The sequence below is a fragment of the Homo sapiens genome, chromosome 11 (assembly GCF_000001405.40).
Source record: "Homo sapiens chromosome 11, GRCh38.p14 Primary Assembly".
NCBI classification, from domain to species: domain Eukaryota; kingdom Metazoa; phylum Chordata; class Mammalia; order Primates; family Hominidae; genus Homo; species Homo sapiens.
Window position 1 is genome coordinate 56,072,047 of NC_000011.10, and position 26,241 is coordinate 56,098,287.

Here is a 26,241-nt window from a genome sequence, read left to right on the forward strand (position 1 = left end):
TAATTTCATATTTCCATATCCAAAAATAGACTACAAACAGTGGTTTGTCTAATTATATCTATACAGATTTAATAAAATTTCAGTCCTACAGGAGCCTTAGAGTTTATTCAGTTGGAGCCATGTGTTTTACCGTGGAAAAAAAAGACCTAGAAAAATGTGCCATAGAAGACATGGCTGGTTACCATGTTAACTAACCTAAAAACCAGGCTAAGATCTAAGGTAGTTATCTCTAGGCAATTGATAACATTTTCATTCCTTCATATGAGTAAAAATAAATATTTCTGGGATATATAGACACTCAAACACATACACAAATAGAGACAATGATAAAATTAATAAATAATAAAATATATGCTGCCTTGGTCTCTCTATTGAGCATGGAAATAAGTAAAATACATTCAAGGCAAAAAGTATTGGTACTTTCCTTATCCAGAAAAAAGACAGATACATATACCAAAAATTAACCTGGATTATTTATTGCTTGATATTCTTCAAAATAAATATATACACTTAAAAATACTCAGAAAAAGAACATAGTACTAGATTACCTTTCCACTTGGAATGGTTAGTCTAAACCATTTCCCCATTCCTGGCCTCAGTTTCCACTACTACATATGAAATCATTTTGGACAGATTGTCATAGTTTTATTATCACTCCACATGGAAGACTCACTAATACTCAGAGAAAGCTTACCCTGAAGACTTTCACTTCATATTTAGAAAGGATGACTCCAAACTCATTAGGATGTCATTAATAATCAAATTCGCTTTCCTCTTTCCTTTAAAGATCTCCCAGAATCCTTTTTACACCATTAAACAAAAAAATTCCCAGAAGAGTCATTCTAGGTAGGGAAAATCTGTGAAGCCAATAGTTTTCCCTTCAATTCAAATTATATGTACAAGTGCATCATCATAAGATCAAGCCTACAAATACTAATTGTCCCATATTGATTTATTCTCAAATTGTTGTAAACTATCCTATCTGGAAAAATATTAAAAATATATAAATAACAGTATTCTAGAAAATATATTCACTTTCAAATAAAATGAAATATTTTAAAATTCTGTTTTAAATATTGAATTAACTGGTGACAAATGAGCTAAGCAGCACAATGCAACAGCTGAAGACTCAATAAAATATTAATTCATATATTTACATGGTAGGCTAGATTAAATTTTTTTATCCTCATTGACAGCCACAGTTACGTAAGTGAATGGCACCAATGAGAAGGGGTGGAATTTCATGGAAAAATTATTATTGTTCTGTTTAGCGCCCACCTTCAACTCATCCTAATAAACAGTTACAGTATTATACTCTAAACAAAAACCACATGCTTCAATGAGAAAAATGTCACTCCCACAATTCTGATAGAAATTGAGGTGGTTGGTGACAGATTTGTATAATGTAGATTGGAAAATGAGTAACATAATCATATATAAGTTTATTCTGAAACTAAGTGAAACTGAGTCAGGCATATCCTAAGTGTTCCTACATGATTGGTACAATTAACTAATAGAAAATAAGTGAGAACACCAAAAGTGAAATAATCTGTTGTCACTCCCATTAGTTGACATGCAAAATATCAGGAAAATAAAATTTTGAGAGTGTACTCTTACTGTTCCATATCAGATAAAGTTGGTTACTGTTCAATATCAATACTAGAAGAAATCAGGACTCAGCAAATGTTGATCTGACATGACTTTGTGGCCTCAGAAAACATCTATCAAATATGTGTTTTTATTCCATGTATGTAGCCTTGGAATTTGTGATGTGAAAATTGTCCTGACTTAGGGAAATACGTTGCTGGCACCGTTTGGGCTGGCTATGATGAAATTTGTATTATGATCATGATTGTTGCTATATGAGACCCAGGAGACAATGCAATGAATTTATGTTCTAAGATCTGAGATTTTGTTGACTACGGCGATCCCAGCTATGATGGCAACTTTCACTTGTCATTGGTCAAATGTGGCCTGTATCTAAATTCCAACTGTTAGAATCATAGACATCTAGAGCTTACGTCAGTTTTAGATATTTCTTATGAATTCTCAGAATTCATAGATTCTCATTTTTATTCTTAGACTTCTCAGATATTCCGTTTTTGATAGTATACCCTTCTGAGTCTAATATGTCCTAAAGTGCGAACTTGTACAATTTTTTTTTTTTTTTTTTTTTTTTTTTTTTTTTGATAAGGAGTTTTACTCTGTCACCCAGGCTGGAGTGCAGTGACCCGATCTCGGCTCACTGCAACCTCTGCCTCCCGGGTTCAAGTGATTGTGATGTCTCAGTCTCCCAAGTAGCTGGGATTACAGGCTCCTGCCACCACATGCCTAGCTAATTGTTATACTTTAGTAGAAATGGGGCTTCGCCGTGTTAGTCAGGCTGGTCTTGTACTCCTGACCTCAGTTGATCTGCCTACCTTGGCCCCCAAGGTGCTGGGATTACAGGCATGAGCCACCGCGCCTGACCCAGCTTCTTAAATTATTCTGGGCCACCAGTAATGTGAATCATGTAAATTAAAATATATAATTAAACAAAATCATATAGCGATTAGAGATAATAGTTGTGAAATGCTTGAAAAATCATAGGCATTTAATAAATAGAAGCCATTCCAATTAGGATTCTTCTTGATTTTTTTTCAAGACCAAAAAAATACTCTTTTAAATATTTATTATAATACTCCATGTTTATTAGTTCATTTTCATTATTGCTTTATTTTAAACTTGTTCCAAGTTTTCACCGCTATGTTCTTATGCATTTGTGTTTGATTCTTTAGTTGCGTTTGAACTATATTAATGACAGTTTTTAAATTAATGATAGTTGCGTTTGAACTATATTAATTGTAGTTTTTTCTTATTCACCCCCTCTTATATTTGTCATTCTATCCTCCAATTATCAGCCTACTCAATATTTGTATTTTATTTTATTTTAGTTCCGTGGTACATGTGCAAGATGTGCAGGTTTGTTACATAGGTAAACATGTGCCACGGTGTATTGCTGCACAGATTAACCCATCACCTGGATATTAAGCCCAACATGCATTAGCTATTTTTCCTGATGCTCTCCCTCCCCATCCTCCTGCCACAGGCCCCGTTGTGTGTTGTTCCCCTCCCTGTATCCACATGGTCTCATTGTTCAGCTCCCACTTATAGATGAGAAATGTGTTTGATTTCCTGTTCCTGAGTTAGTTTGCTAAGATAATGGCTTCCAGGTTCATCCATGTCCCTGCAAAGGACATGATTTTTTTCCTTTCTATGGCTGCATAGTATTCCATGGTGTGTATGTACTAAATTTTTTTAATCCAGTATATCACTGATGGACATTTGGGTTGATTCCATGTCTTTGCTATTGTGAATAGTGCTCCAATAAACATATGTGTATATGTATCTTTATAACAGAATAATTTATATTTCTTTGGGTATATACCCAGTAATGGGATTGCTGGGTCAAATGATATTTCTGGTTCTAAATCTTTGAGGAATCATCACACTGACTTCCACAATGGTTGAACTAATTTACATTCCCACCAATAGTGTAAAAGTGTTCCTATTTCTCTGCTACCTTACTAGCATCTGTTGTTTCTTGACTTTTTAATAATTGCCTTTCTGACTGGTGTGAGATGGTATCTCATTGTGGTTTTGATTTGCATTTCTCTGATGATCAGTGATTTTGAGCTTTTTTTTCAGATGTTTGTTGGCCACATGTATGTCTTCTCTTGAGAAGTATCTGATCATGCTCTTTGCCCACTTTTTAATAGGGTTGTTTGTTTTTTTTTTCTGTGAATTTGCTTGTTTCTTTTAGATTCTGGATATCAGACCTTTGTCAGATGAACAGATTGTAAAAATTTTCTCCCATTCTGTAGGTTGTCTATTTACTCTGATGATAGTTTCTTTGGCTGTGCAGAAACACTTTAGTTTAATTGAATCCCATTTGTAAATTTTTGCTTTTGTTGCAATTGCTTTTGGCGATTTCTTTATAAAATGTTTGTCCATGCGTATGTCCTGAAAGGTATTGCCTAGATTTTCTTCTAGGGTTTTCACAGTTTTGGATTTTCCACTTAAATCTTTACTCCATCTTGAGTAAATTTTTGTATAAAGTGTAAGGAAAGAGTCCAGTTTCAATTTTTACATATGGCTAACCAGTTCTTTCAGCACCATTTATTAAGTAGGGAATCCTTTCCCCATTGCTTCTTTTTGTCAGATTTGTTGAAGATCAGATGGTTGTAGATGTGCAGCTTTATTTCTGAGTTCTGTATTCTGTTCCATTGGTCTATGTGCCAATTTTTGTACCAACACCATGCTGTTTTGGTTACAGTAGCCTTGTAGTATAGTTTGAAGTTGGATGCCTCCAGCTTTGTTCTTTTTGCTTAGTATTGTTCCGGCTTTACAAGCTCATTTGGTTAAATATGAATTTTAAAATAGTTTTTTTTTTTCCAATTCTGTGAAGAATGTCAATGGTAGTTTAATGGGAATAGTATTGAATCTATAAATTGCTTTGGGTAGTATGGCCATTTTCATGATACTGACTCTTCCTATCCATGAGCATGGAAATGGAATGTTTTTCCATCAGTTTGCGTCCTTTCTGATTTCCTTGAGCAGTGGTTTGTAGGTCTCCTTGAAGAGGTCCTTCACTTCCCTTGTTAACTGTATTCCTAGGTATTTTATTATCTTAGGGGAAATTGTGACTGGGAGTTCATTCATGATTTGGCTCTCTGCTTGTCTGTTGTGGTGTATAGGAATTCTTGTGATTTCTGCACATTGATTTTGTATCCTGAGACTTCGCTAAAGTTGCTTATCAACTTAAGAAGTTTTTGGGCTGAGTCAATGGGCTTTTCTAGTCATAGAAAAGTTTGCATGTTGTCTGCAAACAAGGGCAATTTGACTTTCTGTCTTCTTACTTGAATACCCCTTATTTCTTTCTCTTGCCTGATTGGCCTAGTCAGAGATTCCAATAATATATTGAATAAGAGTGGTGAGAGAGGGCATCCTTGTGTTGTGCCAGTTTTCAAGGGGAATGCTTCCAGCTTTTGCCCATTCGGTATGATATTAGCTTTGGGTTTGTCATAAATGACTCTTATTTTGAGATATGTTGCTTCAATATCCAGTTTATTGAGAATTTTTAACATGAAGGGATGTTGAATTTTATAGAAGGCCTTTTCTGCGTCTATTGAGATAATCATGTGGTTTTTGTCTTTAGTTCTGTTTATGTGAGAAATTATATTTGTTGATTCGTGTATGTTGAAACAGCTGTGCATCCTGGGGATGAACCCAACTTGATCATGGTTGATAAGCTTTTTGGTGTGCTGCTGGATTCAGTTTGCCTTTATTTTATGGAGGATTTTCACACTGATGTTTATTAGGGATATTGGCCTGAGGTTGTCTTTTTTTGTTGTTATATCTCTGCCAAGTATTGGTATAAAGATGATGCTGGCCTCATAAAATGAGTTAGGGAGGAGACTCTCCTTTTTAATTGTTTGGAATAATTTCAGAAGAAATGGTACCATCTCCTCTTTGTACCTCTGGTAGACTTCAGTTGTAAATACATCTGGTCCTGGGCTTTTTTTGGTTGGTAGGCTATTTATTACTGTCTCAATTTCAGAACTTATTACTAGTCTATTCAGGGATTCAACTTCTTCCTGGATCAGTCTTTGGAGGGTGTATGTGTCCAGGAATTTATCCATTTATTCTAGATTTTCTAGTTTATTTTCATGTTTATGGTATTCTCTTATAGTTGCTTGTATTTCTGTGGAGTCAGTAATGATATCTCCCTGATCATTTCTGATTGTGTTTATTTGAATCTTCTCTCTTTTCTTCTTTATTCATCTAGCTAACAATCTATCTTTTTTCTTTATTGTTTTTCAGAAAACTGCTCCTGGATTCGTGGATTTTTTTGAAGGATTTTTTGTACCTCTCTCTCTCCTTCAGTTCCACTCTGAGCTTGGTTATTTCTTGCTCTTAGCTAGCTCTGTTGTGTGTTTGTTCTTGGTTCTCTAGTTCTTTTAGTTGTGATGTTAGGATGTTGATTTGAGGCCTTTCTAGCTATTTAATGTGGGCATTTCATGCTATAAATTTCCCTCTTAACTATGCTCTAGCTGCATTCCAGAGATTCAGGTATATTGTCTCTTTGTTCTCATTGGTTTCAAAGAATTTTTTGATTTCTGCCTTAGTTTTATTATTTACCTGGAAGTCATTCAGGAGCAGATTGTTCAACTTCCATGTGGTTGTGTGGTTTTGAGTGAATTTCTTAATCTTTATTTCTAATTTGATTGCACTGTAGTCTGAGAGACTGTTTGTTATGATTTTAGTTTTTTGCATTTGCTGAGTGTTTTATTTCCAATTATGTGACCAATTTTAGAATATGTTCCATGTGACACCAAGAAAAATGTATATTCTCTTGTTTTTGGGTGGAATGTTCTGTAGTTATCTATCAGGTCTACTTGATTCAGGGCTGAGTTCATGTCCTGAATATCTGTTAATTTTCTCTCTCAATGATCTGTCTAATATTGACAGTGGGGTATTAAAGTCTCCTACAATTATTGTATGGGGGTTTAAGTCTCCTTGTAGGTCTTTAAGAACTTGTTTTATGAAGTTGGGTGCTCCTGGACTGGGTGCATATGTATTTAGGATAGTTAGCTCTTCTTATTGAATTAAATCCTTCCCCATTATGTAATGCCATTCTTTGTCTTTTTTTTAACTTTGTTGGTTTAAAGTATTTTGTCAGAAACTAGGATTGTAACCCCTCCTTTTTTTCTGCTTTCTATTTGCTTGGTAAATTTTCCTCCATCCCTTTATTTTGAGCCTATGTGTGTCTTTGCACATGAGATGTGTCTCTTGAATACAGCACACCAATGGGTCTTTTCTCTGTATCCACCTTGCCATTCTGTGTCTTTTAAATGGGACATTTAGCCCATTTATATTTAAGATTAATATTATTATGTGTGAATTTGATCTTGTCATCATGATGCTGGCTGGTTAATTTTGCAGACTTGTTAATGTAGTTGCTTCATAGTGTCATTGGTCTGTGTACTTCAGTGTGTTTTTGTAGTGACTGGTAATGGTTTTTCCTTTCCATGTTTAGTGCTTCCTTCAGGAGCAATTGCAAGGCAGGCCTGGTGGTGACAAAAATCCCTCATCATTTGCTTGTCTGAAAAGAATTGTATTTCTCCTTCACTTATGAAACTTAGTTTGGCCAGATATAAAATTCTGGGTTGGAAATTATTTTCTTTAAGAATGTTGAATATTGGCCTCCCATCTCTTCTGGCTTGTAGGGTTTCCTCTGAGAAGTTTGCTTTCAGTCTGATGGGCTTCCCCATTGTAGGTGACCTGGCATTTCTCTCAGGCTGCCCTTAACATTTTTTCCTTCATTTCAACCTTGGAGAATCTGACGGTTATGTGTCTTGGGATAGATCTTTTCATGGAGTATCTTAATGGGGTTCTCTGGATTCTCTGGATTTGAATGTTGGTCTGTCTTGCTAGATTAGGGAAGTTCTCTTGGATGATATCCTGAAGTGTGTTTTCCATCTTGGCCCCTCCTCACCTACTCAATAGTTTAAAAAATTGTTTTTATGTTCAGCTAATAAAGTGAGAAAAATATTGAACCTGATAATTTTCCTAGTATCCTAATTGGTTAAGTTGCCCCTAATATTAAAAAGCAATCTACTCTATGAAAGTTCACATAAATACATGTGCATACATATGCACACACATACACACACACACATCTGATTTCTATTTAGAAATTGCTTCTACATTTTTGGGTTCTCTCACACTAGAACATGTATATATTTTTCATAGCTACTACAAATAATAACGTACTAATAACGTACTAATAATGTACTACAAATAATAACGTACTAATAACGTACTAATAATGTACAAATGGAATTTAGAGCTCTTTACAAATAATATACATACTATATCACCTAAAATATGTACATATAAATTATGTAAATTTTAATTATTACCAGTGGAATTAATTGTTAACAGTCCAGTTTTTCCTTGTAGAGCCTTACATAGGTGAGACAATAACATCTATGACAATTTTTTCTCTGAAAGTGAGAAAAGCCAAATATATGAATTGCTACACTTTGGAAAGAGTGCTGGGGCCTTACTTTCCTCAGACCTATTTTTAGCTGTTTTAATGAAATCTAGTTTTTAATAAATCACTGGGGAGTCTATCCTCCAAAGGCCCTAAGCCAAATATAAACACAACAGTGTGGAAATTAAGAGAAAAGAGCCAGGGTTTCCTCTCAACACCGAGTAGGTATCTTGTTTATGTGTTCTAACAAAGGGTTTATAAATACCTTCTCCTGTTTTTCAAAAAAGAGCAACTTTCAGTACCTACTGTAAGTATAATATGAGAAAGAAGCATTTGCCTCAAATCCATTTCAATCACTGAGATAAGTGAAATAGAATTACAATATTCCCAACATCAACTGGCTTTTGTGAGATAATTTGTGGGTTTATTTTATATTTTCCTCAAGTAGTTGTATTTAAAGCTTCATGTCTTTGAGTGATATAAGTTGCAGAAGAGAATTTATTTGAAGAAATTCTTTGAAATATAAGGCAAGTTATTATAAACTGTTGAATTTTGTAAAATCTGAGAAAAGGAACAGCAATTTATTTGGCCTTATTTCAAGCAATAATTTTGAGAGTCAAACATTATTTTATTGTAACTGATTTTATAGCAAAACAAAAATACAATGTGAAAAGTAGTCCAGGTCAAAATGATCATTTATTAAATAAAAATCAAAGAAACAAATATGAAATTAGTGAAATAAGAAGAAACTCATAGTCAAAGTCACAAGTTTGGTTTGTTTGAAAAGAAAGTCAATCAAGGCAAAGCTGGCTAAACAATGTTAAACCAAAGAAGGCAAAGAACAAAAACGTTAATTTAGTCAAAAAGTAATTTGTCAAGTATGTGGACAGACACCTCTATTTTCTCAGTCTATTTTCTTCATTTTACTTTGAATAGGCAACAGACGTTCAGAGAGCTCCTATGGCATGCCAGACAGTTTTACATATTTTCTTTCTTTTATTAGTACAAATTTAAGGAGTTCAAGTGCAGCTTTGTTCCATGGATACATGGTATCATGGTGAAGTCTGGGCTTGTATTGTAACCATTACCCAAATAATGTACATTTTACCCATTAATTGATTTCTCATCCCTCATTTCCCTCTCTCCTCCCCCGCTTCTGAGTCTCCAATGTCTATTATTCTATGTCTACAAGTTTTCACTTATTTTCTTATTTAATTCTCACAATTAGATCTAAGGGAAGATTTATAGATGAATCCAATAGTTTGGCATGAAATTACAAGTTTCTCTGGTAAAAAGTGACTAGTCATTCTTTTTAACTTTTTGCAATTTCAGTAACATGGACATAATCAAAGCTGTCTTGGAGCCTGTTTGCAGTATTTGAATTGTTATTAAATAGCTTACTTTACCTCACACTCGTAGTACAAGGTAGAAATCGAAGCCCATGTCTTTATCACTGTTTATTCAATATTAGTGAAACATTATTCCCAAATAATTTTGGATTGTGGATTGTGAATTATCATCCTCATAAATGTTCTGTGAATATAGATGCCATTGTCAAATTAATATAAAAAAGTTTCTGTTTCTTTTTGAAAACTATCAACCACAGTAGTATAAGTACTCCTAAAACTTGTACAGTAAAGACAATTTTCCTTAAACATATGTAACCCAGTGTTTTCCAAATATATTAGATACTTGAAACTTACTTTTCATGTACTTTGGGTTAAATGATAAAACCTAAAATACATTAATAAACTTTTTCTAAATAAAAAGATCCATATGTGATTTAATGTGCAGAATACACATGCTCTGTCCCTGAAATATAATCTGAGACTTTGACTACAGAGATTAAAACATTTCAAAAAGCTTTCATGACTCAATTAATAATGAAAATAAATTATGAAAATGTCAGGTATAGACAAATCCAAGCTGTTGGATAATAAATACTGTAGGAAGTCAGAGGGTGGAATGATGAATATCACTTGGAGTTGGAGAAGATGACTTCCTGGTGTAAATGTGTTTTTAAAAATAAACAATTCTAGTATGATAGAAAATGTTTGATTTTTTAAATTCTATATTCCAGACACCCCCTGATTCTCACTTTGTTCATAGATAAACTATATGTTTTAATAGATGAGATTATATGTATGTATATGTATTCAAATATCCACATATATAAAAACATACACATATATACATTCTTTTGTGTTATTGTTTAATGTATGTGTCGTGTGTACTAGCTGTCTAAATATCATAGAAAGTAATTTTGCCAGATGTATAAAAAATCTACCTAGTAAATATTGAGGATGTTTGGGTTTTTGTTGTTGTTCTTTGCTAAATAATTTTATTCATTAATGGATGAGGTCCTTGCCTTGTATTATGGAGTCTGGAATATATTGTTACCCAGAATCCATCTCCTAAACTCTCTCTGTTAAACAAATATTCCTATTAGAGCTCTGCAGGGAAACTCTAATTTCTCCACAGGTTCTTATGTGGTGTGTAATGTTCATTTATATTCCTTAGTGAGATCCAACAAAGGTCTGTATCAGGCTAACTTTTGCATGCAAAATTCAAGTTTACCATGGATAATTATTATTTATAATTGAAACCATGTATTTTCTAAAGAAGTTAATAGCTGCAATTTATTTATTCAAGCTGTACTCTGTGGTTATTTTTCCTATTGTTCCCTGCAGATCCCCCCCGTAGGGCAGCCATATAAATGGCTGACAGAAATGTCACTGTGATAACTGAATTCATCCTCCTGGGGTTGACTGATAACCCTGAAATGAATGTTGTCCTTTCTGTGCTCTTTCTATTAATCTATCTCATTACTGTCTTGGGCAACTTTTGGATTATCATAATAATTCTGGCTAGTGCCCAACTCCATTCACCCATGTACTTTTTCCTTAGCCAGTTGGCTTTCTTAGATTTCTGCTATTCTTCAGTCTTGATTCCTAAAATGTTGGTGAATTACATAGCAGGACAGAAAGTCATCTCTTATCACGGTTGCCTCCTTCAGTATTCCTTTGTCAGCTTGTTCCTGACTACTGAATGCTTCCTCCTGGCTGCCATGGCATGTGATCGGTATCTCGCTGTTTGCCACCCACTTCACTACAAAGGTCTCATGACTCCTACTTTCTGAATCTATTTGGTGACTGTTTCTTACCTGCTGGGCTCTGTAAACTCCCTCACCCACCTGAGTAGCTTACTCAGTTTGTCTTTCTGTGGGTCCAATGTTATCAACCGTTATTTCTGTGACATTCCATTGCTCTTCCAACTCTCCTGTTCCAACACCCAACACAGTAAGATTTTATTTACTGTCCTTTCTGGAGCAACATCAGTGACTACCTTTTTGATAGTGGTTAGTTCCTATCTGGTAATCCTACTCATTGTCCTGAAGATACATTCCACCAGGGGCAGAAATAAAGCCATATCCACATGTGCCTCCCACCTAATGGTAGTGACTCTCTTCTACAGAACAGTGATATTTACTTATCTGGGAGCCAACCCTGGATACTCACAGGATAGACCCAAAATTCTGCCTGTGGAGTGCACACTTTTGTTGTCAATACTAAATCTTCTAATATATAGCGTGAGAAACAGAGAAGTCAAAGAAGCCATAAAAATAATTATTAAGAGAAAAATACTTCCTCAGTGAACATGAATTTTCAGCCAGAAACATTTAAGACTATTATCAGTGCTGCGGTAAGTACATTGTTAAATATATGTGGGACTTTTGGGGTGGAGGCAGAAAGCTATTTTCAAAGCAGTGTATGTGCAAAAATGCATTTGTTATTAGCCTTCAGAAACATACATGCACACATGTGAACACATACACATACACACACATATATCTGGGAAACATTTCTTTTACACTTTTAGGTTTATTAGTTAGAAGGCCCATTAATTAAAGTGACAAAGGAATGATTAACAATAGAAGAGACAAAGTTTACTCATACACATATAGGGGCACACAAAAGAACTGGCTCAATAATTAGAGACCAGGGTTTATATACCTAATTTGCCACATGAAAGCAAAGGATGAGAAAGCCTTCTATGGGAAGAACAAATGAACTTTTAGCAGAACAAATAGGAGACAAAGTTTCCGATAGTGTTCGTTTTATGCAGATTCCTGTGTTCCCTTTCTTCTTCCAGGCAGAAAATCCTCCCGCTAGAGGCAATTTATGGAGGTTTCAGTCTCAGAAGTCTCTGTCTTTAGTATAAGAAAAGCACTGATAAAGCTTCTTTCTGCATTTGTTGAATCTGAAATGTCTTCAGATAAAAATATTTTTATGCCACTTTGGTATAATTTGAATCCTTTCAAATCCCAAATTGTGATTCTGAAAATCTAACTTCCTATGCAATAAACTGTCACCCATTTTCTGTGGATTGGTTAACTATAAAATACAATCTTCAGTTTCGTAAAAAATATAGAAGAACCAGTAGCTGCACAGTCACAGAGACATGTAGCAGACACACAGGCACACACACACACTCTCACACACACACACACACATCTCTCAAGGAATATTGGTTAAAGGAAGTGTACTGACTTCTCCTTCTTCTTAGTGACGTCCAAGAGCTGAGCCATTTTGCAGATTTTGAGATTCTTCTGAAACAAGAACTTGAAACCAAGCATCAATGGGAAAAAAACTCACCCACGATCAGACCACATGAATATTTGAGAGCCAGAATTCAAATATGCCTATACTTATATACTTGTACACAGACCTCCTCCTCATTTACATTAATAAAAGGCCTTTAAATTTCCTGCCTGTATTTTATGTGCCATCTTTTTCTAGAATTGTGAAAATTTGCATATTTTATTTTAAAAAGTAATTCTGCAGTCACAGATGGTTTCTCTTTAGGGTGACTCCAATTCTGCCAGTTAACAGAAAAACCAAAACAACAATGTAAAGCTATTCTGTTATATTAGAGAATATCGTAATTCACCAAAAATCAGCCTTCAGGGAACTTCCGTAAAAGAGTACAACCATTTGAAAATGCTAAAAGTTACACGTTTAACAAAATGGCTCTTTGAATCCCACATGGCCTATGTTCATCTATCATTCCAGATGGTGTTTATGGTTCTGATCACTTGGCCATCCATCAAATCTCAGTCCAGCAGCACTGTTATTCTCATAATTGTTAAGAATGTAAGCATGCTGTTTGTTAAATGATATTATTGCAATATGTAGTGAATAATAGTTTTGGTTTTAAAGGCATGTTTATATCTATCAAACAGAGTTCATAGCAATAAATCTTATCTGTTAAAATCTATAAAAGTCTATGAATTTGTTTAAGACTGCTTGACAATGAAAGTTATGGAAATTTATAATTAAATGTGTTAAAGCATTTTTTACTTCATTGTTTCTATACAGCTCATAATTGCTTTCAGAAGAATCTCATTGTCAAGTATTTTGATAACAGCATATGCATTTGCCAAAAAATAAGTAATTACCTTCATTATTATAACCAAGTTTTCGAAAGCAAAAATATTGCCTAATAAGGGAGTCCCTAGGACATAAAAAGCAGCTTTCTGAAAGATATCTCATAATCACATACCAAAATTTAAATCGACATTAAGTCTACCAAAGTATTTCTCTCTCGGTCTTATATACTTGAGGCTTTTACATTTAACAATGTAATTTACAACATAATAATAAAGTGCTCCACTTTTTGAATTATTTTCATCTTCATAGATTGCAAATAATGGCATGTTTTTGGTAAAACATATATAAACATTTCTGTTTTGATATTTTGACTAATTATTTTCCAAAAATTTGTATAGAATCTAATTACTTCAGCAATTCAATTATTGTATTTATTTAAAAGTTTAGTTATTATAACTAAACAGAAATAATGAATATATTGTATAATAAAATCTTCAAAAAAGGAAAAGAGATAAAACCAACAATGTGAAAATTAATGAAAATATAATAATTGATCATGATCTTCTTTCCACATGTTATATACTAACTTCATGAGAAACGATTTGAGAAAGTAAGGTTTCTCTGTGTTTTTACTCAGTAATGGATTTGAGATTATGCTCGTTGGACCAAAATTGTGAAAAGAGAAGCATATTAAATTAAATAATAGGAGATGAAATTCAAGGGGATAGACTTTCTGAAATACTATAAACTTACACAGAGGGGTATTATTTAGAAACACCATTAAAACTACAAGAAACCTAGAAGTCTTTGAATATTTGTTACTCAAACTATCAATTGTTAGGAAAGTTTTCCCAATAGCTTTAGCTTGTAATATTAAAAGGCAACAAAAATTAATTTATCAGGTCTAGCAAGAGCTTAGATTGTGGATAATTTCTCCAACAATCACTAAATAACCCTATTCAAGCAAATATGTCTCTATACTTTGCTTTATTTGCTTTTGTACATTGTGATGACCATGTTTCTGACATGAATTTTATGCATTAAAACAGCTTAAAACAGTTTAACTTTACAGCATGTGAGTGAATGTGGTTTCTTTCTTTAGATCCATAGTCAATCTAAAAATTTGTGTTTAATTTTGGTTTCTAATAAAAGCCTCTGTTATGCAATGCTGATTTCATATATCTATATGTCTATATTTTATATAGATATAAGAATCCATGTACATATAAATGAAAAGGAGTGTTTCTATGCTACGATTAAAGTGTTTATGATCTACTTTAATCCTTAGTAGTCAATCTTGAATTAATATGTGTAACTGTGGATATTGTATATTTAACATGTTCCAAATTGTTTAAGTTCTTTGCAGGGGAAAGTATTAAGGATAATAAAAACACATCATGTGGAGAATATTGAATTGAAAGGGTTAGAGAACAAATTATAATTTTCTCTTATTGAAAACAGGCCATGAAAAGAAGGGATTAAATTTGTTTTATAGGCTTCAAAGGAATCCAATTATTAAAATTTAAAAAGTTTTGAACAAATGCAGTTCAAAGTCAATTGAATGTATATTTAATAATAACTACTTATATGCTACGTGAAAACACATTTTAACTCAATATAGACTACCCCAAGATCCAGTGATAAACATCACTTGGAAGATTTAAGCTAAAGTGAACAATTGGTGATACTTTGTAGGGAGAGGTTTGAATATCAGATGGATGGTTATGTGTGTTGGTTTCTGAAGGCCATCCCAACAATGAGACATTTTACTGGTGGCTAGCAAATGTACTTTAACTTAGAAATATGAAAAAAATGAAAACGGCCCTTTTTACTGTTTTCATGTGATTTTTTAAAATCAGAAAAATTAAGAATTAAAGGGAAACTTCTCATCTGTTCTTCTGATGACAAAACCAAGTATTGGACAGAATATATGTTTTTTTCATTAGATCTCATGACTTACTAAGCATTCTGAACTTCAGTCCATTTTGCATTTTGCATTTTTCTGTACATACCGTGAAACGGCAATTTGTTCCACAAGCTAACAAACATAACTAAGAAAATCTGCGTAGAGATACTCACATTTATTGGACATCTGAGTATTTTACATCTCATTCAAGACAAATAGTTATTTTTCTGAATGCCTTTCAACTTCCTCAATCCCAATGTTCTAAAACTAGTATCACTACATTCTGTGCACCCATTTTCTATTTTTATATTATTTTGTTTGAATAAAATGTGTGCATTCACTCAGTTACACAAGCCAAATATCTGGCAAGTGAGCACAGATCTGGAATCTCTTTTCTTTCTTTTTTTTTTTTTTTTTTTTTTTTTGAGGCGGAGTCTCGCTCAGTCGCCAGGCTGGAGTGCAATGGCAGGATCGCGGCTCACCATTGTCTCTGCCTTCTGGGTTCAAGTGATTCTCCTTCTTCAGCCTCCCGAGTAGCTTGGACTACAGTCACGCGCCACCATGCTCGGCTACTTTTTTTTTTTTTTTTTTTTTGGTATTTTAGTAGAGATGGGGTTTCACCATGTTGGCCAGGATGGTGTCAATCTCTTGACCTCACGATTCGCAGGCTTTGGCCTCCCAAAGTGCTGGGATTAAAGGCATGAACCACCACACCTGGCCCCATATCTCTTTTATTTTCTTCAAATACTTATTCGAATAGGTCTTGGTAATTCTGTATCTCGGAAACCCTCCGGATAAGTTTCTTTTTCTTTATTAATTATCATTGTTGCCATTTCAGCTCAGGCTCCAATGTTCGCTAATCTTAACTGTTGAGAGCCTCCTAATGTCTTCCATTGCAGCCTACCTAGTTCTCCTTTAATGTATCTTCAATTTTACCTCAGAGCAAAGTTTTTAGTCATAATACTTCTACACATTGTCCTTTTAATAAGAATTCACTGGACTGCTTACATGTCTCTTTAGACATTTCCAAATATAACCATTTTCCATTATAGCATAAAGTCATTTTTTGAAGTTATAATTACAAAATGTTGAGAATGTAAAAGTATTAAAAATATGTGTGATTTATTATTAAGGGAAAATATAAATACACAAGTAATAATCGTAAAATATTGTTCAGATCCTTTTTTTCTAAATGCCGTAGTCTCATAAAAGCAAGAATTCTTAGAGAAGTGGTTAATTTTAGAGTTGAGTCCAGGAAAATACAAGATGACCTGGAACAGTTTGTGTGGTAGAGTGTAAGGAGTAAAAAACAACAATGATGGAAAGAATTTTAAAAGGTAGGGACATGTTCAAAGAACATAGAGTCCAGGAGCCAATTAGATGGTGGTTCCATTAGTTTTAAGCAACAGAGTAAATGATGTCAGCATGGAATATAACACAAAGAGTAAATAATTATGAGTGCATATTGGTTTAAATAGAAGACTGAATAAGTAAATATATAGGGGAGAAGTAATAACTCTACCTTTATGAATAATTTCAATATATTAAAAGAATAAGGGAAATAACAAATTTCTACCAAAATACCACAGTAATAATTGCTACAAGCAACAAACATATTGATAAATGGTAAAAAGTAGTAATGAAATATTTACATAGTCTAAGTTACCTTTTCCCAAATAAATATTTAATAAGTACAAAGAAAGAATTGTAATTCTACAGTAAAAAAGTCTGGCACACACTACTTTAAGTGATCAAATTTAATATCACTAGCCATATCACCTATCAGCATCATATGCCCTGTGATAAAATGGAGGATTGTTTACAGATTGCCTCTCTGGAACTCTTTTCAATCATGGAAAACCTCAACTTAATTAGGAGAAAACATCAGGCAAAGTTCAATTGAAGAATATCCTATAAAATATTTGACGTACTAAAAAAACTATCACAGTCATGAAAGAAAAGGGAAGACTATAGAACAGGAACAGACTCCAATAGCCTAAGCAGGCAGGACAATAACCACAACATGGCATCCTGGATTGGATCCTGGAAGAGGAAAACAGGACTTTAGTGGAAAATTTAGTAAAATTATTAAATCTGTAGTTCAGCTAATATTATCTTATCAATATAAATTTCTTAAGTATTAATATTCACACTGTGATTAATTTTAACATTAGTAAAGCTAGAAGAAGTGTTTATAAAAAATCTGTTGGTCTAAAGTTATTTAATAAAAAAGTTAAAAAGAGTTGATTGACAGAAACCAAAATAGATGTATAGAAAAAATGTAAATTCAATTGATCAAGTAGTTATTAAATGTCTATTTATCTTGTAATATGGTCAACAATAGTCCCTATATCAACTGTGTATTTGTGACCACTATACATATTAGTTCACCAAATATCAGAACATTAAATAGCTGAGACAAAATTTGAATCTTGAAAGAGGCAATTAACACTAGGTAGTGTGAAAGGAGAAATATTATTTTCATGTTTCACACAAAGCATAATGCCTGTCATCCAACGGCTGCTTAATCAATTTGTGTTGAACAAATAAGTAAGAGGGTAGATGAAACATTGACATTGCAGGTGTACAACCCAATTCTTTCAAAGTTTTATTTTCTCAAGTTGCGCACTTAGTGGGGGAAGAAATTACTGTAGTCTCTCCTTATCCTCAAAGAACCTACGACCCCCAGTGGATACCTGAAATTGCAGATAGTATCCAACTCGATATATACTGTTTTTTTTTCCTGTACATACATACTTGAGATATAGATTAATTTTAAATTAGACACAGTAAAAGATTAATAACAATAACTACTTATAAAATGGAATCATTATAACAATACTCAGAAAAGCACATTTAAACCTATGAATTGTCTATTCCTGAAGGTTTCCTTTTAATATTTTCAGACTGATTGACCAATGGTAACTGAAACAACAGAAAGTAAAACCACAGATAATGGGAGCCTACTGTATACCATTTATTTTGTCCTAATATCTGATAATATTGAGCATCAGTAAGTGATATGGCACGTCTATAATAGATTCCCTTTTTTAAAATCTCTAATATTAGAGATGGTTTCTATCACTACAAAAATATACATTTTTTTTCCTGTAAGGAATCTGTTGTGTTTCATTATGTAACACTAGGGAGAGATTTGTTAAAAGATACAAAATTTCAGCTAAATAAGAAGAATGTGTTCTATTGTTCTGTACTACTGTACAATGACTATAGTTAACAATAATGTATTATGTAGTTTCAAATAGCAAGAAGGAGGATATTGAATATTCCCAACAAAAAGAAATGATAAATGTTTGAGATGATAGATATATATGATCTGATCACTGTATATTATGTATTTTAAAACATCACTATGTACTCCCAAGAATATATACAGCTATTATTTGTCAATTAAAAAATAAGCCCTTTTAAAATATAAGTGATATAAGAGACTGTAACAATCACAGTAGAAGAAGAATTTCATTAGACAAGTCTGTGAGATCCTTCCAAGCTAGTATTTGTCAAAGTATAAGCCATGTAATGTGGGGCATTTTGAAAAATTTAATTTTATGGGTCAACATCAGACCTAATAAACCAGAATCTATACAGTAGTGTAGGCTAGGAAGCTGCTTTGAAACCAACAAACACAAGAGATAATGTGAATACAATTGTGGGAAATATTGTATTTACTCATAAATTGAGCATTAAATGGAGAACATGACTTTGATTTGTACCGCAGGTTTCTTGTTCATTTTCCTAGATGGCATACTTATTATCAGACAATGATACTACGTATATACCTTTAAGCACAATTAAAAATAATTGAATGCCTGAGTTAAAAGTAGACACATCCATGTTTGTTGACATAGATGGTAATATAATTTCAACACATGTTAACAGCATTAAATCAGTGAGTAGGAAAGCTTACTTCCATTTCATGGGAGGGTTATCTGGGAAACAGACAAATGCTATCTGAGATTCCCTAATATCATATGTCTCCTTTAGTTTCATAATAATTTAGTGTTTCATACATGTTTCACGTCTATATATCTACCAATAACATTAAAATAACATGATTTTTAAAACGAAATCAATTGATTTTTTCAATGTGTCTGCTGCCGTTTAACTGAAAAACACAAAAATGAGGAATATATATTTCCTAATGCTTCCATTAGAGATATACCCTAGGCAAATTAAGAATAGACCCTGGAGTATGATTAAAATATGAATCTCAAGAGATCAAAGATGCTAATTGAACAACATTTTTATTAGGTGAGTTTGAGGAAAAGTTGCAGGTATAAGAATACTGCTTAACACATGAGCTTTCAAAAGAAAATCTTTTGTCATGGGATTGCTTTAGAAATACACTAAGACAAAAACAATTCTAAATAGGAATCCAGACTTGAGCAAAAAATATAAATTTTTAATTCTCAAGAATGTGCACAAAAAACAAGTTAACAAGAAGTTAATTTGGCTCTTATTTCTAGCCTATCAATGAAAGGTAATATATACAGTACCTAATACTATCATCAAAACCATCAACATTTTTTCATCAACATCATAACATTTAGGGTCCATTATACAGGAAATAGAGCTCTATACTAAATAACAACTTTTGTTATTTGATATTTAGCATTGTAGATGAGGCAAAAATAATGAACTTGAAAATAAGTGAAAGATTGCTGAAACATAGGATGTTTCCTCTGGGTGACTGAATCCCAGGTACATCTAATTTTCTCATCTGCTTTTTCCTAAAATTTGTGTGTCTGTCTGTCTGTGAGTATAGTTTGCATGTTTCTCACATTGGGAAACTTGTTATTTTTTTAATGTCTGCATCTTACATTAGGCTTTAAGAAAAATGCCCTTCATGACAGGCAAGACAAAATGCCTTCATTGAATAAATGCTTGTCAAGTAAATGAATGGATAAATAGGAACACTGTGACCATGGAACACATTAAATGATTAAGTACATGTGATATATAATAAGAATAATATGTTATATTATTATTATTGATAATAATTATTATCAAGTCCCATTTGGTTACTCAAGGAGAGTGCTAAATGTCTAAACAAAGGTGATTATTTAACTTTGCTTGGCGGGCTAGTTTCAAATGCATTTATTCGTCATATATTTATGTTAAGTTAATTAGGCAATAAAGTTCTTTAGTTTCTAGCATGCCCACCTTATAATTTAATTCTTATTTTTAAATGTAACAAATCAGGTTTGTTTTACTGTTTTTAACATTTATTTATATCATTGTCTTAAAAACTGCTGTTCAGCAATGAATTGGCTAGCACCTGATGTCATAGATTAATATATGCAATATATCTAGAAACAATCATGTTGTTTGAACAAACATACATGAAAGAATTTAAACTATGTTATAGATGAAGGCCCTCATTTGGTCTTATCTCACTGAATTTTTTATTAGATAAACTGCTCTATTCATTAGATACAATTCATTTTGTTAGATAACTTGCTATATTTATTAGATACAGATTGATTTCATTAGATAAGTTGCTATATTCATTAGATACAATTAATTTCATTTGATAATTTGCTATATTTGTTAGATACAATTGATTTCATTAGATAAATTGCCAGACCCAATGACAGACAGGGGTAGAGAATGGTACATCTTAGGAGGAATTTCTACACATCTTTCCAGACATGTATTTTTTAGTCTACACAATCGTGAATTTGAGTTTTTTTCTGTATTAATGTCTGTAAGTTTTCAGTTTTATAAAAAATAAAAATTATCCGTAAATCTCTAGCTAACTTCAGGTCATTAAATTTTACTTTCCATTTGTAAAACTTTCATGATTGGAGTCTAAGTCAAATTTGATTATAGGGCCTTTAGATTTGAATCCTTCTCTAACTTTCCTTATTGTTATTCAGCAGGTAAGTCAAAGGCCTGAGTTGATGTAAATGGCTGGCAACAATTTCACTGAGGTTACCGTCTTCATCCTCTCTGGATTTGCAAATCACCCTGAATTACAAGTCAGTCTTTTCTTGATGTTTCTCTTCATTTATCTATTCACTGTTTTGGGAAACCTGGGACTGATCACGTTAATCAGAATGGATTCTCAGCTTCACACCCCTATGTACTTTTTCCTGAGCAATTTAGCATTTATTGACATATTTTACTCCTCTACTGTAACACCTAAGGCATTGGTGAATTTCCAATCCAATCGGAGATCCATCTCCTTTGTTGGCTGCTTTGTTCAAATGTACTTTTTTGTTGGATTGGTGTGTTGTGAGTGTTTCCTTCTGGGATCAATGGCCTACAATCGCTACATAGCAATCTGCAATCCCTTACTGTATTCAGTAGTCATGTCCCAAAAAGTGTCCAACTGGCTGGGAGTAATGCCATATGTGATAGGCTTCACAAGCTCGCTGATATCTGTCTGGGTGATAAGCAGTTTGGCGTTCTGTGATTCCAGCATCAATCATTTTTTTTGTGACACCACAGCTCTTTTAGCACTCTCCTGTGTAGATACATTCGGCACAGAAATGGTGAGCTTTGTCTTAGCTGGATTCACTCTTCTTAGCTCTCTCCTTATCATCACAGTCACTTATATCATCATCATCTCAGCCATCCTGAGGATCCAGTCAGCAGCAGGCAGGCAGAAGGCCTTCTCCACCTGCGCATCCCACCTCATGGCTGTAACTATCTTTTATGGGTCTCTGATTTTCACCTATTTGCAACCTGATAACACATCATCGCTGACCCAGGCGCAGGTGGCATCTGTATTCTATACGATTGTCATTCCCATGCTGAATCCACTCATCTACAGTCTGAGGAACAAAGATGTGAAAAATGCTCTTCTGAGAGTCATACATAGAAAACTTTTTCCATGACAAATTTATGTATGTTACAATTAAAACAAAGGTGGATGGCTTCAGGAATTCAGTTATGCCAACAACTAGGAAAATAGTAGAGTAACCTCAAAAAGCATAACACAAACTAAATGAGAACTTAGAGTCTTGAAGTTTGTGAATTGAATTATTATTTCATTTGTTTATATGGACCACTAACTCACTGTATTTGGAGGTCAATTCGGCATATAAATTATTCAGACATAGACATGTACAAGGAAATAAGAGGCACCTGAACATGCATATATAAGCATGCCATCACACTGAAACATGTTTAAAATTATTACATTAAGAACATGCAATTTTTGTCATTCTGTGCCCAGCTTATATCACATAACTGGATTGTTTGTATTAGATTGTTGCAAAAGTAATTGTAGTTTTTTGTCATTAAAAAAGAAAACAGCAAAAACATCAATTACTTTGCACCAACATAATAACTCGATGGATAAATGCTTGATAACAAGGATAACCCATTCTCCATTATGTGCTTATTTCACATTGCATGTCTGTTTCAAAATATCTCACGTACTCAATAAATATAGACATCTACTATGTACCCACAAAAATTAAAAATAAAAAAACCTTAAAAAGTAAAAAAAAATATTAAATTGGCAATATAAACTTACACTGTTTTCTCAGCTACTAGTAAATTGAGAATAAGAAATTGGAAGATTAAGAGATAAGAACAGTTAAATTTTACAAAAAATATAAAATGCTGATCACCCGAAAGCAAAGAGTCTGGAACTAAAGAAACAAACAAAAATAAAAAAGCAATATTAGCCACAGGGAAAAATAAACGATTGAAGTAATTTCAGTGCAAACACTAATGGAACAACAGACACCAGGCAGTATGGAGAAATCTCTTGATAATATGGAGTCATTTGCCCCTAACGGTTAAGTTCTTGATCATGTATGTATGAACACAATTTTTTTTACATAGAAAAGTGATCAGTTTATGGCATTTTTTTCTAATAAAAACAGCAGAGTTTAATTTCTCATAGAATGTCTCACTAGCTGAGGCATAATCCCTAGATCATTTTGGATTTATACAGATTCTTGCATCACCAAATCAAACAAAAAGACATTGTTAAATCTACAGTATTAAAGGAAGAAAATGTGTGTGTATGTGTTCGTGTGTGTGGGGTGGAGAGATGGTGCTTTTCTTGCAAAGAGACTTAAACCTGATTTAACGAACTCTCCCAGGTGTTGCTAGAAGGTAACCATCGAAAAAGTTTTATCAGTACTGCCTTTCATGTCTATGAATGAATGAACAATTATCAGAGTTGGGCTATCATATGTATGTTGAAAGGAATGGAAGATTAATTTGATGAGGCTCTTTTAAAAGAAAATGTATGTGCTTATAATATTACTCTCCAGCAAGATTGTAAGCTCTTTGAGAGAAAAGTTTGCCTTTTCTTATTTGTGCACTTCATAACAACTAGCAAATGTATCAATACGAAGTATATAAGTAAATATTTTCTTTTGTTTTCGTTTGTGTGTGGAAGCACAGTGATGAATTCATTAGGGCCACAGTGTCTGTCTTACTCATATTTGTATATTTCTTTGGTGCAGTTTTGTACATAATCTTATTCAAACGTCAGTTTAGTTAGAAATTCTATTTTTAGAATTCTTTCTCAAACATTTCTCATTCATATATTAAATATGGCATAGTGATTTACAGATATATTTCTTCCCAAATGACTTTTTTTTCAGAATGGCTAGAATATGGAACTAAGTATATACAAAGCTGTATGCCGCATATATGAATTTAAATAATAGAAGACAACTGATTAGGAATTCTCATCTCTCCATAGTCACAAACCTACTTCTGTAAAGAGAATATCAGTCTTCAGTCTTGGTAGTGGCTGAAGATAGCTCATGTGAATGGACCTGGGTGTGCACATGGTTGGGGCTTAGAAAATGATATCGCAAAGAATGATGCTTTGGCATACTGATCACTTTGAAATAAGAAATTGCAAGGCCTTAGAAGCTGCCTTGGAGCCAAAGACTTGTTAACCTTCTCTGTTTCCCTCCCAGCAAGCACAGGGAAGGACATGCTCTGGAATTTTCTTACCTGACTGAGGAAACATCTTCTGAAACATGTATACATATGTAACTAACCTGCACATTGTGCACATGTACGCTAAAACTTAAAGTATAATAATAATTAAAAAATAAAGCAAATGAATAAACAACAATAAAAAGAAAAGTAATTGTCTTAAATGCCTTCTCTAGTATCTCATTAATTAACTAGGAAAGATTAACCACTGAAGAAGAGAAGAGACTAAAAGTTGTCACCATACTCACACATAGGGTTCATCTATTCTTCTGAAGGGATCTCCAAGAGATTATGTAAGAGATTTTATCAGCATAATAGATGGCATTTGTTCACAACAATGTTCTGTCCCTTCCCTTAAATTGCTGGTTCCATTCAGTTTCCTACTAGAATCATTTATAAACAGTCTATGCTTTGGGTTCATTCATTTCTCCCCTGTGAAAAGGGTATTTAGGCCTCAATCATATCCATTGAGTTATTATGTTGGTGCAAAGTAATTGCGGTTTTTGTTGTTTTTTTTTTAATGACAAAAAACCACAATTACTTTTGCAGCAGTCTAATACAAACAATCCAGTTATGTGATATAAGCTGGGCACAGAATGACAAAAATTGCATGTTCTTAATGTAATAATTTTAAACATATTTCGGTGTGATGGCATGCTTGTATATGCATGTTCAGGTGCCTCTTATTTCCTTGTACATGTCTATGTCTGAATAATTTATATGCCGAATTGACCTCCAAATACAGTGAGTTAGTGGTCCATACAAACAAATGAAATAATAATTCAATTCACAAACTTCAAGACTCTAAGTTCTCATTTAGTTTGTGTTACGCTTTTTGAGGTTACTCTACTATTTTCCTAGTTGTTGGCATAACTGAATTCCTGAAGCCATCCACCTTTGTTTTAATTGTAACATACATAAATTTGTCATGGAAAAAGTTTTCTATGTATGACTCTCAGAAGAGCATTTTTCACATCTTTGTTCCTCAGACTGTAGATGAGTGGATTCAGCATGGGAATGACAATCGTATAGAATACAGATGCCACCTGTGCCTGGGTCATCAAAGACTTCTCTGAATCTCATATTTTGAGTGGCTCTTGTGCTTATGCAGATTAATAGATGTGCATGCCTTTTCTCCTGTTTATCTATTGTCAGATCATTACAGCCGACTTGAAACTTCAGAGGGAAATGGAAATTCACTTTACCACTACACATTCATACATTCTAAATAAAATGATCATTTTTATAAGTGTATAAAACATCATGACTTTTACACTTTATTATGTTTACCCTGATTCTAGTGTATGCATTTTTACTTTTAATTGTACTGAATTTATATTTTTCTATAGATAATTTCAAATATTCTTATTTACTTAGTATTAATAAAATTATGTACCAAATTTATCTTTGAAAGTTATTAACATTTTTATTGCTAATCTGTTTCTAGGAGCAAAATCATACCACATTTTTTTTTTGCTCATCTAAACACATAACAACATATTTTATTTACCCAAAATTGTGCCTAAATGTCCATACATACTCTTCTCAATATGCTTCTCACAATTTCCCCTAGTATATTAATATCTTCCATCATTCTCTCTAGTTGCTCTGTGTGCACCTTCCCTCTAGATCCTGCAATGCAAGTCTTTCCAGGATAAACCTTGCCTTTTTTCCAGTCATTCCTTGTGCCTCACTCTTCCAGCACTCTTGATCTTTCCCACATCAGAAGATTAATTGTAGTCTTTGAAACTAAGTCCCTGGCAGTATCCTACTCTGTGCAATAGTCCAGATATCTCTTTCCTTTTTGAATATGCTGAACAAAAACACTCAATTTAAAATATGTTTGATGCATAAGGCTTCAAAATAAAAATACATAGTTTTGGTTCTGTCTGTTTAATCAGTGGTGCCCTTGTAATGTTCCTGTCTACCATTTGTATTCCTTGAGTTTGTGTTCTATTTCACTAACTTTA

General features: G+C 33.2%; 1 protein-coding gene and 2 pseudogenes across 1 annotated transcript; 2 read left to right on the plus strand and 1 right to left on the minus strand.

The window, feature by feature from the left end:
* On the plus strand, nucleotides 10,755–11,690 carry OR5BE1P (olfactory receptor family 5 subfamily BE member 1 pseudogene; annotated as a pseudogene).
* On the plus strand, nucleotides 21,262–22,194 carry OR8I2 (olfactory receptor family 8 subfamily I member 2). Its single transcript, NM_001003750.1, has one exon. The coding sequence runs from the start codon at nucleotides 21,262–21,264 to the stop codon at nucleotides 22,192–22,194; it is 933 nt and encodes a 310-aa protein (NP_001003750.1).
* On the minus strand, nucleotides 25,197–25,337 carry OR8I4P (olfactory receptor family 8 subfamily I member 4 pseudogene; annotated as a pseudogene).

Coding starts and splice junctions, on each gene's coding strand:
- OR8I2 (NM_001003750.1), top strand. CDS start 21,262: ATGGCTGGCAACAATTTCACTGAGGTTACCGTCTTCATCCTCTCTGGA.